The sequence below is a fragment of the Homo sapiens genome, chromosome 1, assembly GCF_000001405.40.
Source record: "Homo sapiens chromosome 1, GRCh38.p14 Primary Assembly".
In the NCBI taxonomy this organism is placed as follows: Eukaryota; Metazoa; Chordata; class Mammalia; order Primates; family Hominidae; genus Homo; species Homo sapiens.
Window position 1 is genome coordinate 17,430,763 of NC_000001.11, and position 14,711 is coordinate 17,445,473.

General features: G+C 52.0%; 1 protein-coding gene and 1 long non-coding RNA gene across 3 annotated transcripts in view, besides 2 other annotated features; both read right to left on the reverse strand.

Annotated features, from left to right (window-relative positions):
• RCC2 (regulator of chromosome condensation 2) overlaps positions 1-8,915 on the reverse strand; it is a 32,918-nt gene extending 24,003 nt beyond the window's left edge. The window contains exons 1-2 of one of the 2 annotated variants that reach the window (NM_018715.4): positions 8,783-8,915; positions 7,468-7,760 (exon numbers count right to left, since the gene is read on the reverse strand). In NM_018715.4, coding sequence (NP_061185.1) covers positions 7,468-7,752 — 285 coding nt within the window. In that variant the 5' untranslated portion in view covers positions 7,753-7,760; positions 8,783-8,915. Of the gene's footprint in view, positions 1-7,467; positions 7,775-8,782 lie in introns of those variants that run through there. The other variant, NM_001136204.3, reaches the window with a different exon arrangement.
• Positions 7,596-7,695: a silencer, noted in NCBI's record as "silent region_342". NCBI's record gives its function as "represses an Ori minimal core promoter by ATAC-STARR-seq in GM12878 lymphoblastoid cells {active_cell/tissue: GM12878}" and the evidence as "EXISTENCE:reporter gene assay evidence [ECO:0000049][PMID:35858748]".
• Positions 9,015-9,154: a silencer, noted in NCBI's record as "silent region_343". NCBI's record gives its function as "represses an Ori minimal core promoter by ATAC-STARR-seq in GM12878 lymphoblastoid cells {active_cell/tissue: GM12878}" and the evidence as "EXISTENCE:reporter gene assay evidence [ECO:0000049][PMID:35858748]".
• Positions 9,374-10,781, reverse strand: LOC124903862 (uncharacterized). Its single transcript, XR_007065508.1, has 2 exons — positions 10,696-10,781; positions 9,374-10,291 (listed from the first exon to the last, which is right to left on the reverse strand). It is a non-coding gene; the product is annotated as an uncharacterized LOC124903862 (long non-coding RNA).

The following is a 14,711-nucleotide window of genomic DNA, read 5'->3' on the forward strand; positions in this document are numbered from 1 at the left end:
TTGCTGCCCAGGCTGGAGTGCAGTGGCGTGATCTCGGCTTGCTGCAACCTCTGCCTCCCGGGTTCAAACGATTCTCTTGCCTCAGCCTCCCAAGTAGCTGGGATTACAGACACTCAGCTAATTTTGTGTGTTTTTAGTAGAGACAGGGTTTCACTATGTTGGCCAGGCTGGTCTCAAATTCCTGACCGCAGGTGATCCACCCACCTTGGCCTCCCAAAGTGCCGATAAAATGCCAATAAAATAACGCCGATGAAAGTTCCCAACCATGCCAATAAAAATGTATTTGTTGGCCAGGCGCGGTGGCTCACACCTGTAATCCCAGCACTTTGGGACGCTGAGGCAAGCAGATCACGAGGTCAGGAGATAGAGACCATCCTGGCTAGCACGGTGAAACCCCATCTCTACTAAAAATACAAAAAAAATTAGCCGGGCATGGTGACCGGCACCTGTAGTCCCAGCTACTCGGGAGGCTGAGGCAGGAGATTGGTGTGAACCCAGGAGGCGGAGCTTGCAGTGAGCCAAGATCGCACCACTGCACTCCAGCCTGGGCGACTGAGCAAGACTCCATCTCAAAAAAAAAAAAAAAAAAAAAAAAAAATATATATATATATATATATATGTGGGCTGGGTGTGGTGGCTCACGCCTGTCATCTCAGCACTTTGGGAGGCTGAAGCAGGCGGATCACCTGAGGTCAGGAGTTCAAGACCAACCATGGTGACAAAGCCAGCCCTGTCTCAAAAAAAAAAAAAAAAAAAAAAGAAAGAAAGAAAAAGAAAAAAGGGCAGCTCCAGGCCCAATCATTCTAACCTCTACAGTGTGATCACCCCATGGGTATGCTTTGGCAGTACGGCTCACGCATTTCTAAGATTACACATCTTCATGACGGATGATTTCCACTTCAATAGGAACCTTTACACGACCCAAACCTGATTAGGGCGTCCCCCAAGATATAGGTTCCGTCACGCTTGCCCACTCCACCACATTATGTAACAGGAAAAAGATGGTCAATCTACAGGAATGCATCCTGCAGTCCTCATGAAAAGGGGAAGTGAGGCCAGCCGCGGTAGCTCATGGCCCGTCATCCCAGCACTTTGGGAGGCCAAAGTGGGTGGATCACCTGCGGTCAGGAGTTTGAGACCAGCCTGGCCAACATGGTGAAACCCTGTCTCTACTAAAAATACAAAAAATTAGCCGGGTGTCTGTAATCCCAGCTACTTGGGAAGCTGAGGCAAGAGAATCGCTTGAACCCAGGAGGCAGAGGTTGCAGCGAGCCGAGATCACACCATTGCACTCCAGCCTGGGCAACAAGAGCGAAACTCTGTCTCAAAAAGAGAAAAAAAAAGTTGGGGGGAGGGAAGTGAAACAACACGGAAAGGGAGAACAACTTTGGTTCATTTAAATTATTTAGAAAATGACCTTAATCAGAGGGTGGCCCAGCCCCTGCAGCACCCACAACTCAGGTTACTTGAATTGGAGCCTAGCTTCCCCTGGTTATCTGCCCTTCTTTGTTTAACTGGCAGGCCTGGCTGGAATATGCTACAGGTCTATATTCAATGGCTTCTGTTGAAGTCCCTGTGGAAGGAGAGGCCTCTGGGTCCTCTGCCCAAGCCTACCAAGTTGGCATGGAGGGGGCAGTAGAGACCCAGGAAGGGTGCTAAGGCACTGGAGACCAAGCTCCCAGGCCAGAGGGCAAGCCTAGAAAAGAGCCCTGGAATGCCAGCAACTGCAGACCAGGCAGGCGGAGGTTCATGGGCACCTGTGCTCAGTATGAACCATTGAAGTCAAACCACCCTACACTGAGATGCAACCACTGCAGCAAAACTTCACAGTGCTGAGGCCACACCAGAAGCCTCAGCTCCATCAGGCCAGAGGGCATGGTTCAGGGGCAAGTTCAGACAGCCAGAGCTTAACCGCAGTGGCCTTGGCCTTGGGGAGGGAGTTTCCTGGGTGACCTGGACATTTGGTCAAGGGCTCATGAAGACTGATCCATCAAGCTAGCTAAGCATTTATAGGCAAACCCAACCACGCCAATAAAAATGTATTTGTGGGCCGGGCATGGTGGCTCACGCCTGTAGTCCCGGCTACTCGGGAGGCTGAGACAGGAGAAGGGCATGAACCCGGGAGGCGGGGCTTGCAGTGAGCCGAGATCGCGCCACTGCACTCCAGACTGGGCGAAAGAGCGAGACTCCATCTTAAAAAAAGAAAAAGAAAAAGAAAAAGAAAAAAATATATATATACACTCACACACACATATATATACACACACACACACATATACATACGTGTGTATACATATACATATATACGTGTGTATGTGTGAAAAACCCCGGTAAACTGAGTCTACTCCAGTGACGGTGGTCAGATTCCTATGAAGGACATTAACTGTTATTCAAGTTTTTACGTCATGGATCCTATTTCCTCACACATTAGATGGAGGTTAGTGTATTTCGTTATTATTTACATAATTGTTTGCTCTAAGCTGCTTTCTTTTATTTCTCTATAACTTCTTTCCTCTGCCTTATGTGGAATTAACATTTAAATAGAGTAACAGAGAACTCCCAGCACCCCTTCTCACTTAAGGGGTGCTCCTCTTCCTCAGAGACCAGAAACAGCCAATCGTGGGAGAGACTCCCGCGCTTGCGGGCTCCACCCGGGGCGGCGGGGCAGGGCGGGGGTGCCAGTGGGTGTGTGGGTGTCTGAAGCTCAGTGTGCCCTCCCAGGCGGAATCCAGCCTTCCCTGATGGGCCTACGGATTGTTTTTTTGGACGAACTCAGTGTCTGCGACCCTGCTTGTGTATAAAGGCCACGCAGCAGACAGCCTGGCAAACAGTCTGCCCAATGAGATGAGTGATTTTCATGTCATTTCACCTGGCTGCCTCCAGCAACTTGGTCACATAACCTGGGCAGAGACACACAGAAATGGACAGAAAAGGCACTGAGCTTCTTCAATCAACAAAATGGGATTTCTAGTCTAAAGCAATTTTTGAATTATGATCCAAATGCAAGGTGCGCGTTTACGGGGCCCAGAGTCAACCTTTTAACATAGGTCCATGTAGAAGACCGCTGCTCCGGGGAGGTAAGACCCCCGGGAACAATGCCGGCATCGACCAATTACCTAAGGGCCATCAACTGAAACAGACTTCCGGGTTGGCTTTCAGTTTTATTTATTTGCTCCTTTCAGATTCAACACATCTGTCTCAGGGTCCACAAAACCTTGGCAACCCAAGACTGGAAAAACTACAAAGACCTGGGCAGCTTGCAACACTCACCTGTTTTGTAGGATCTGGCCAAGGCTGCTGCCTTTACTTGCTTTAGGAGGTTATGAAGTGCGCAAAGAATTAGGACTGAATCTACCCTAGTGTGACACTGCCATCAATATTTGGAGTTCCTGGCATGCAACTTCCCAAATCCTTGGAATCTCCAAAGCAATGTCTTTTTGTATGCTAATGACTGACACTGGCAGCCCCCAGGCAGCTTCCGGATGGGGCAGTGGGAGCCTAGGGACTTTCAGCCCCATCCTCCAACCTCAGGAGGGAGATGACTGAAGGTTAAAGTGATGATCAATGGCTTAATCTACCATGCCTACATAATGAAGCCTCCGTTAAAAACCTGTAAGGACCAGGTCACAGAGCTTGTGGAGAGCTGAACATGTACCAGGTGGGTGGTCTGCAGAGGGCACGGAAACACAGTGCCCCTTCTGCCACATCTAGCCTTACAGGTCTCTTTATCCATAGCCTTTGTAATATCCTTTATAATAAACTGGTGTTTCCCTGAGTTCTGTGAGCCATTCCAATAAATTAATCGACCCCAAAGAGGGGGTCATGAGAACCCCAACTAGAGGCTAGTTGGTCAGAAGCTACCAGGGACTGGACTTGCAACTGGTGTCTGGGGTGGAAGGACAGTCTTGGGGACTGAGCCCTCAAGATGAGGAAATCTACCTCCAGGTGGATAGTGTCAAGAGATGAACTGGAGGACACCCAGCCGGTGTGTGCTGCAGAACTGATTGCTTGCTTGATAGCAGGGGGAGACCTCCCTTTACGTCTAGTCACAGAAGTCTTGTGTTGGGAGGCGGGGCGTGGTGGCTCACGCCTGTAATCGCAGCACTTTGGGAGGCGGGCAAATCACGAGGTCAGGAGTTCAAGACAGCCTGGCCAACATGGTGAAACCCCATCTCTACTGAAAATACAAAAATTACCGAGCACAGTGACAGGTGCCTGTCATCTCAGCTACTCAGGAGGCTGAGGCAGGAGAGTTGCTTGAACCCAGGAGGTGGAGGCTGCAGTGAGCTGAGATCACACCACTGCACTCCAGCCTGGGAGACAGAGCAAGACTCCATCTGGGGTGGGGGGTGCGGAAGAAGTCTGGTGTTGGTTGTTGAGTGTGGCCGTGAGAGCGGAGGAAAAAAGAATTTGAATTTTTTCTTAACACCTAGGCAATGACAACGCTCATCTGCCATAAGAATGTTCTATAAAATGCACATCTTTTACTCAAGGCAATTCTGCCCCTCAACAATGTAAGTATTTGGCTCATCTTCTACAAGCCCGACACCTGCAGCTTTGGGGTCACTGAAGGCAATATGGTTTTGGACATTTCCTGGGCGGCTGCTTTCACACAGACCTCCTCCTAGCAACCCTGAGCGGGGCAAGGCATGCAAAATGCTCAGTAAAAAAGGTTCTTTCTGCAACAAGGACTGCTGTCTGCCTGTGGCAGCACACAGGGTCCCTAGGACTGCTCAACAGAGAAACAGAGACCAGAAACCTGGGGCCAGGGAGACTGGGCAGGAGGCCAACCCAGGACAAGGGGCAGAGGGCTGCCCTAGGCCTATGGAAAGGCAATGGGGCTGCATGGACCCAGCCCCGAACATGGACCAAACTCAGTAGATGCTAACAAAACTTAAACGTGGGGCACTTTGGGAGGCCAAGGTGGGTGGACCACCTGAGATCAGGAGTTCGAGACCAGCCTGGCCAACGTGGTGAAACCCCGTCTCTACTAAAAATACAAAAAATTAGCCAGGTGTGGTGGTGGGCGTCTATAATCCCAGCTACTCGGGAGGCTGAGGCAGAAGAATTGCTTGAACCCGGGAGGCGGAGATTGCAGTGAGCTGAGATCGCAACATTGCACTCCAACCTGGGCAACAACAGCTAAACTCCAGCTCAAAAAAAAAAAAAAAAAAGCAAAACTTAAATGTAGGGTGTGCACTTTCCATGAGGCATAAAGGGGCATCATATGCTGAACCCTCAGCCTCCCAGGTGCTCTGATTCTAGAACAGCACCGACAGCCCAAAGGATGGGCATCATGGGCCCCTGTTGGTTTTAAGTGGATAGAGAAAGGAAGATGTAGCTTTTAGAGTCCTGCTTATACACATATGTAAAATAATAACGTATTTATGTGTATAAACAGGAACTTAAAAGCTGCAATGGACTGCTGTTTACTCACATTAAGACTTACAAACATGCAACCCAACACAGGGCTCGCGCCTGTCATCCCAGCACTTTGGAAGGAGGCTGAGGCAGGCAGATCACTTGAGGCCAGCAGTTTGAGACCAGCCTGGCCAACATGGTAAAACCCAGCCTCTACAAAAAGTACAAAAATTATTCGGGTGTGGTGGAACACACTTGTAATCCCAGCTGCTCGAGAGGCTGATCAGCACACAAAAATCACTTGAACCTGAGAGGCGGAGGTTGCAGTGAGCTGAGATCGTGCCACTGCACTCCAGCCTGGCCATAGAGGGAGACTCTGCCTCAAAAAAAAAAGACTAACAAATGTGCCATTTCCATTGACAAAGCAGCTTCAAGCAGCACAGCTGGAGACAGAGGTGGGCCAGGGAGAGCCAGTGTCCCTCACACACTCCCTGTCTCTACCTCCTTGGGTCAATCTCAGCATGGGGTAAGGATCTTTTGCTCTGATGGCAAAATTCAGCGTTCCAACAGTCTGGAGCTGTACAGCTGATAACTGCAGTCTTGGATGTCTAAACACAATCTTGCTTTTGGAAACTCACTCAAAATAGGATACAGGAGACGCGGAAGCTCACCTGGCCTTTCTTTTTAGTTTCATCCTAACATACTGTGTTCGGAGGGCAAATGTCTGGAGTCTGGCACAGCAGACTAGACGTCAAAGGAAAACAGTTCCTGTGTTCCAGTTTCTCAATACTTTGGCCATTGTCTAGTCTAGCCTGATCCAAGACCCCGGGCAAGACCTTTTGACAGCTTTTGACGGGCTCTCCTCCACTGCCTAACATGTTAACCCTTTCACCCAGAAGGCACTTTTACAAAGCATATTCCCATGTGCAATTTGCAGGGACATCAGGAGTTACAGCATTTGGAGATCCAGTTCCATCCATGACTTTGGACAAGGCCCTCGAATTCTGTGCCCCAGTTTCCCTATCTATAAAACGGACGTAGAAAATGTGTTATTAGACACTGCCTGCGCTTCTCTGGAGGAAAGCACTCTGCTGTTAACCCTTAAACACCCTTAGGAGATGGGCACTTATGGAAGGAAAAAAACCTCTCCGGGTGTCAGGCTCTACACCCCAGGTGGAAGTTCTTGCTCTCTGGGGGTTATCTGAGAATCTGGTGAAAACTTAGACCCTCTTCTGAAAAACATATCCCACACCACACCAAACTTAAAGAAAGTTCTGTGGGGGTGGGGAGATGCTGTGGCGGCAGATGCCGGGTTCAGATCTCCGGCTCTGCAGGCTTTTTCGGGAACGTTAACTTGAGTCAGCCACGACCTTAATTAAGATTTGAGAAAACAGAAGCCCGCCCAGGACCCTAGGAGATGCTTCTTCACTTGGGGGGGCTACAACAGAGCCCTCGCGAGCATCCTGCAGCTTCGGACCACCGGCGGCAAACAAAGCCCGAGCACCGCTCAGCCGGGGGGCTTCCCCGACCTCGGGGGAGGGCTCTGCGGAGCATGCGCGGCGGCCGTCAGGCCCCGCCCCCCCCGGGCGCCGGAGCCGAGGCGGCGGGAACCTCAAAGCCCCGGCGCAAACGGCCGCTCCCCGCAGAGCGCCGGCCGCCCCCTCCCCGCGGCGCCCGGGCGCAGCGGCGGCCACGGACGTGTGGGGCCCGCTGGCCGCCCCCTCTTCCAGGCCGGGCGAACTTACCGAGGTCCCCTTTCCCGGGGCGGGGGGGGAGGGGCGCAGAGGGAGCTGTGGGGGCGGGGCCATGACCCCCTCGTGCGGGCTTCGGCCGCCCCTCCCCCGCCGCGGGCCCGGGCGCGCGCCCCAACCGCCAACCGCCCGCGCGGTGCCCGGGGTCGGGTAGGCCGCGGGCCGCGCGCCCCGTACCGAGCCCTTTTGTTGCGCGGAGGCGGAGGCAATGATTCAGCCCGCGGCCTGCGCCGGCCCGGCCGCCGGGAGGGAGCGTGACGCGAGGCGGCCCCCGGCTGGAACGCGCGCCGTGCCGCGTCGCTGAGCCCGCCGGCCCCGGCCCTGCGCCCACCCGTCTACCCTGACCCTCACTCACGACGCGCTCCTTGGTGTGCTCGGGTTCGGTGATGACCACGGCCGCGCCGCCCGCCTTGCCTGCTGTCGCCGGCCGCGCCGCGCGCTTGCCCCCGCCGGGGGCCCCGTCGAGCTCCAGGCCGTCCTCGTCGCCGCTGCTGCCGCCGCCGCTGCTGCTACTGCAGCGCTCGGGCCGCTCGCGCTTCCTGCCCGCCGGGCCGCCGCGTTTCCTGGGCCCGGCGCGGGCAGTGCCGTTGCCCGAGCTCGGCTCCTCCCAGGCCGCCGCCGCCGCCTTCTTCCTGGGCATGGTCGCGGCTGGAGGGAGACACGGGGCAGCGGCGCACAATGGACGGGTTATAAACTGCGCGGGGGGAGGGGAGCGGAGACGAGCCACCCGGCCTCCACTTCCTCCTCTGCCCTCCCCAAAGTGGCGGCCGCAGGGTGGGCGGAGAGGGGGCGAGTTGGGAGAGGAAATCGCGCCCCTCCCTGGCCCCGGCGCGGCTCCTTCGGGGAATCCCGCAGGGCAGCCGGGAGCCCCAGAGGCAATCCCCTGGAGGGAGAATTGAGACCCCCGGCCTATCCGTAAGTTAGGTTTGCCCACAAAGCATCACAGTTGCAACCTCGCCCCCCAAAAGTAAAGGGAAAGTAAAACCAGCCTCCAGTCCCCTAGATTTTCATTAAAGAAGGCTTCGGGACACTTCCAGGATTCCCCCTTGGCACCTGGGTGGTAAGGGAGCCCCTGCTCCCCGGCTACCCCACCTGCTGCTTTTGTCTCCGCAGTCTCCCCCCAAACCCACTCATGGCATTTAATGCAACGCTCTCCCCCACCCCGCATCAGCCCTGGACCCCCGTTCGGCCCCAGCTCAGGGGTGCCGACCTCGGGCTCTAGTTAGCCGAATCCCTACGGCGGACTGCCCCCGGCGACGGGGGAAGAGCCCGAAGAAAGCTGGACCCCAGCCCCAAACACCTGCTCGCACAGACACGAAAAATAAAAACTTTAATGGTGCCCAACTCTCTCCCAGCCCCCTTGCCGGCCGTGCGGCCCGGCCGGTCTCCGATTCGACTGCAAAGTGTCCAGGGCCGCCGCCAGCTCCCCGGCGTCCCTGCGCTCTCCCCTGTCTGCTTTTTTTTTTTTTTTTAATTGATTTTGAACAATGGGATCTCTGTCTGTCTCCGATTAAACCACGTGGATCCGCCTTCCTTCCTCTTTTTATTCCTTCAATCACCCAGCCCCCCTCCCCCAGGTTTTTTTTTAACCTTTTCTCTTTAAAAAAAGGAAAAAAAAAAAAACTTTCCCAGACCCCACAAACTGATCACTGTCGATTTTCAGACCCTACCTGGTTGGAGTGATGAGAAACCGGAGAGAAAAAAGGAAGAGAAGCAACTAAAAGACGGATCGGAGGGCTTTTTTTTTTCCGGCCCAGACGAGGGCTCCAGCCCACTCACCAGATACACTTAAAATGTAAATACGAGCTTCCAGAACAAATGCTACAACACAAAACAGAAACACATGTGCGGCCGCGCGGCAAGCGAGCGCGCGGCGGGGCGGGAGGCGCGGGGCGCGGGGCGCGCGCGCCCCCTGCCGGCCGGCGGACCCGTTGCCGGCGCCCCCGCCCCGCCCGGCCTGGCCCTGCCCTGCCCACCCGAGCCTGCGCCGCGCGCCGCGCGCCTCGCCGCCCGCCTCGGCTCCGCTGCTCCTGCGCCTTTCGCGGGCCCGCGAGCGCGCTTTGGGCCTTCCACGCAGTGCGGCCTGCGCGTCAGGGACTTCTTTGCGGCTTAGGAGGATGTTGGATTGTTTTTCCTGGGCACGTCTAGACAGGTCACATGAGGACACTCGCTGGAAAATAGTTACTTCGCTCACGCAGCAGCCAACAAGGGACGTGCCCTAATTGAGTGATTGGAATGAAAGATGAATACAATTTGAATAATTTTTTCCTGTGCAGAGAGAAGCTGAGTTTTATTTGCCTGTGGATGTGTCCTCAGTATGTAACAAGGTGCTGTGACACGGAAGAATCACATAAAGGTTTGCTGTATTAGTGAATTAATTCATAATTAATTTGAGGGCCGTGGAGGCACTGGAAGCTGGCTTTGAGGGGAACTTTTTCATTTTTTGCCAAATATTTACTGAGCCCCCGGTACATGCAAGACCCACAGTGCCCGGGGCTGCAGAGCCAGTGAACAAGGTTTCCACCCCAGTGGAACGCACAGCCTAACGGAAAGACAGATCAGTAAACAAGTAATTACAACAGTGGTAAGCTTTACAAAGTGATGCCTGTGTAGGAACATTATGGCGAGGGGATTTATCCTAGTCCAGGGCCAGGGAAGGCATTCAGGTGGAAAGTTATGCTGAACAACTTAAAGGATGAATAAGACCCGATGAAAGGGGGCAGGAAAAGTATTCCAGGCCAGGTGGAGTGAACGGGACGCTCCACATTTCGAGATCTTGAGAGACACCTCCTGGGAGGGAAGCTGTCTGGTGGGGCTGGGGTGAGAAGAGCCAAGAGGCTGGGTTCTGAGGAGGTAGGCAGGGGTGCGAGGGCCTGCATAGACCCTAGTGAACCGCAGTGAGGCTTGATCTCGTTCGCGTGTCCTGGGACGGGTGAAAAAAGCCTTGCTTGCTTCCTACCGGTCTCCACCCTCCACCTCTCCACCCCACTTCCATTACGATCTCACCGTCACTTGCTCTCCTCTCAAAGCTTTTCTCCTGCTTCTTTTTTCCTGAGGCGTACCGCACAAGGAAGTTCCTTCTTCAGGCAACTTCTTGAAAACGCATAAAGTTCTAGGATTTTTGTGATTCATTCATTCATTGTTAGTGCAAGAAACAGGACTGGGAAGCATCAAGTGTCCTGTAAAGGAAGACAGAGAAACCAAGAGGCCCAAATCTAAGGTATTTGATCAAAGTCAAAAGTCTGTGTGTCAAGAGAGCTGAGAGTGCTTATGTAAAAGAACTTTGGAAATGAGAAATCAACTGGTACGTTTCAGAGATTTTCAGAAAAGTCAAGATGGAATAGAAGCACCCTTTGAAAGCCTATTCTTAATAGACCTGCATTTAAAAAGATTTTTTAGAGGTTAAACTTTGACGCTTTGATATAAAGCATAAGTAGAACCAACCAGAAAAGAATTTCGCCTAAATATGCCATCAAGTCCCCTTCAGGAAATGGCATGCTGATGCTTGTCAGCCGAGGCGGGTGGCTGGGTGTTTATCCTCTAAACACCCTGTGTGGCCAATTAGGAACACCACTGACAGTACCTTTAGATTTCAGTCTGCAAGTCTTTTCCTTTTTTCTCCTGCCCCTTTATAATGCTTTTTGCCAGCTTAAAAGACTCATGCCTCAGACACACTGATGCAATGAGACGCTAATATCATATTGCATCATCTGATCCTAGGTGTGGTGCTCCTGAAACTGGTTTTTCTTGAGGTTATGCTGCAGTAGAAAAGCACTTTGGGTATAACACCCTGGAACTGGCCCTACTTGTCAGAAGACAAAAGTAATTTTTGCAACTCCATGCCTCAATTCCACACCACTATTCTCCCAGGGAAAGCCTGCGTGACTCTCCCGGCTGGAATTGGGTGTGCAACAGACATTCATCAGTTAGGCGTGTCATGCTGCCACTTATGTAACAAATGTTACATAGTGAGGTGCACCTACAGGCAAGCTGAAAATGACACTTCCTCCTTCAAACTGTGCTTGGAATTTCACCTCGCTTCTAATTGAGCAAATTCTCCAGGGACAGGATGGTTTGGTGCAAAACCGGGAGAGGGGAAGGGAAAGAAGGTGGCTGAGATTTCTCTGACACTTTGAGGCACAGGTGTCTGGCACTGTGCTGAGCATTTTACACCCAGAATTTTGGAAATGTGGCTGCAAGTGCCAGCCTGCCGTCACTCTTTAACCTCATCTTCAGCAAAATCATATTGCAAGTTAGATTCAGCTACGCTTAAGTTCTTTTCCAGGGGTGAGGTGTGATTTTTTCTTTCTTTTTTTTTTTTTTTTTTTTATTTTTTTAGATAGAATCTTGCTCCTCCAGCACCCAGGCTGAAGGGTGATGGTATGATCCCAGCTTACTGCAGCCTCTACCTTCCTTGCTCAAGCGATCCTCTCGCTTCAGCCTCCCAAGTAGCTGAGACCACAGGCATGGACAGCTACACTTGGCTAAATTTTTTTTCTTTTTTAATGTTTTGTAGAGACAAGGTCTCTCTCTGTTGCCCAGGCTGGTCTCGAGTGGTCCTCCCACCTCAGCCTCCCAAAGTTGCGGGATTATAGGGGTGAGCCACTGTGCACAGCCTCAGAAGTATAATTCATTTTTTTTTTTCTTTTGAGGTGGGGTCTCGCACTGTCACCCGGGCTGGAGTGCAGTGGTGGCAACCTCCACCTCCCAGGTTCAAGCAGTCTCCTGCCTCAGCCTCCCAAGTAGCTGGGATTACAGGCGCATACCACCACGCCTAGCTAATTTTGTATTTTTAGTAGAGACGGGGTTTCACCATGTTGGCCAGGCTGGTCTTGAACTTCTGACCTCGTGATTTGCCCGCCTTCGCCTCCCAAAGTGCTAGGATTACAGGCGTGAGCCACTGTGCCCAGCCTCAGAAGTGTAATTCTATTCAACTTGGCTACAGAAAGCTACACCTGTACTTGAAAGATTAATTTTCTGATCCAGTGTCTATAAAAATGAAACCAGTGATCCTGGGAGTGATGCGCTAACCAATGGAAACGATTCTTTCTCTTTTTTTTTTTTTGGAAACTGGGTCTCACTCTGTCACCTAGGCTGGACTGTAGTGGCGCCATCTTGGCTCACTACAGCCTCGACCTCCTGGGGTCAAACAGTTCTCCTGCCTCAGCCACCCTAGTAGCTGAGACTGTAGACGTGCACCTCCACGCCCAGCTAATTTTTAAAATTTTTTTGTGGAGACAAGGTCTCACTATGTTCCCCAGGCTGGTCTCAAACTCCTGACCTCAAGCAATCCTTTTGCCTTGGCCTCCCACAGTGCTAGGATTATAGGCATGTGTCACTGTGCCTGGCTTCTTTTTACTCTTTTCAATGTGACTACCACAAAATTTAATATTACATATTAAGTTTTTTGTAGCTCATATGTTATTCCTGTTGGACATCACAGCCTTCGAAAGCATAGCTGGAAAACCAGTAATTTCCTCCAGACCCCACTCTTTCTGCATCTGTTCTCTAGTTTCTCCTCTCTGTAAAATGGCAAGATAGAGTTTGGGCTAAATTTCTCTTGAGGTTACTTCTGGATTTCGTATTCCCTGATTCTGAGGACAGTAGTCAGCGGGGAATCCCTGTCATAGTGTTTGGAGAGATGTTTTCTGGGAGATGCAGATCCGGTCGTCCTATTTCTGCCAATGAGTCATGAAATTTTCAAACGCAGAGTCTTTAAATATTGTAGTTGGACCTTTAAGTTCTCTGTCTGTGAGGCATGCCTGGGCTTGGCTTGTGGCTTCTTCATCTTTGTTTTTCTAGCAAGCACCCAGAGCAGCCCGGCGTGTAGTAAGCTGTCAATATATGTTTGTTCATCTAAATAATATCCAGCGGAAGAACTGAAGCCCAGGGAGATGCTGAGGCCTCCTGAGGCCACACAGCTGGCAGATAGGATAGCCAGGAAGTGTACAGGCATCTGCATCAGTAGGAGGATTGTCAGAAACACAGAATCTGGCCAGGCGTGGTGGTACACGCCTGTAATCCCAGCACTTTGGGAGGCTGAGGCAGGACGATTGCTTGAGCCCAGGAGTTGGAGACCAGCCTGGACAACATGGTGAGACCCCATCTCTACAAAAATTAGAAAAAAATTAGCCAGCCGCGGCCAGGCGCAGTGGCTCACGCCTGTAATCCCAGCACTTTGGGAGGCCGAGGCGGGCAGATCACTTGAGGTCAGGAGTTCGAAACCAGCCTGGCCAACATGGTGAAACTCCCGTCTCTGCTAAAATATACAAAAATTAGCCGGGCGTGGTGGCAGGCAACTTAATCCCAGTTACTTGGGAGGCAGAGGCAGGAGAATCGTTTGAACCCGGGAGGCGGAGGTTGCAGTGAGCCAAGATCGAGCCATTGCACTCAAACCTGGGGGATAAGAGTGAGACTTCTCTCAAATAAAAGAAAAGAAAAGAAAAAAATTAGTCAGGTGTGGTGACGCAAACCTGTAGTCCCAGCTACTTTGGAGGCTGAGGTGGGAAAATCGCCAGAGCCTGGGAAGTCCAGGCTGCTGTGAGCCATGATCATGCCATTGCACTCCAGCTTAGGTGACAGAGTGAGACCCTGTCTCAAAAAAATAAAAATAAACACTGAATCTCAGGTTCAGCCCCCAGACCTACTGAATCAGAATGTGTTTTTTTTTTTTTTTTTTTTTTTTGAGTTGGAGTTTCCCTCTTGTTGCCCAGGCTGGAGTGCAGTAGCGCAATTTGGGCTCACTGCAACCTCCACCTCCCAGTTCAAGCGATTCTCCTGCCTCATCCTCACAAATAGCTGGGATTACAGGCACCTGCCACCACACCCAGCTAATTTTTTGTATTTTTAGTAGAGACGGGGTTTTGCCATGTTGGCCAGGCTGGTCTCGAACTCCTGACCTCAGGTGATCCACCCACCTCGACCTCCCAAAGTGCTGGAATTACAGGCGTGAGCCATCACACCCGGCCCAGAATGTGCATTTTTAACAGGTGATTTTTATGCATCTTAAAGTATGAGAGGTGCAGCCAGGCATGGTAGCTCACACCTATAATCCCAGCACTTTGGGAGGCTGAGGCGGGCAGATCACCTGAGGTCAGGAGTTCGAGACCAGCCTGACCAACATGGAGAAACCCCGTCTCTACTAAAAATTAGCCGGGCGTGGTGAGCGGAGATTGCGCCATTGCACTCCAGCCTGGGCAACAAGAGCGAAACTCCATCTCAAAAAAAAAAAAAGTATGAGAAGTGCTACTGAAATCATACCACTTTTCCATACCCTGTGGAAGCCATTCAAAAGGTGGTTTCTCATACTTTAAGATGCATCTAGCTGGGCGCAGTGGCTCACGCCTGTAATCCCAACATTTTGGGAGGCCGAGGAGGGTGGATCACGAGGTCAAGAGATCGAGACCATCCTGGCTAACACGGTGAAACCCCGTCTCTACTAAAAATACAAAAAATTAGCCAGGCATGGTGGCGGGTGCCTGTAGTCCCAGCTACTCGGGAGGCTGAGGCAGGAGAATGGCATGAACCCGGGAGGTGGAGCTTGCAGTGAGCAGAGATCGCGCCGCTGCACTCCAGCCTGGGCGACAGAGCAAGACTCCG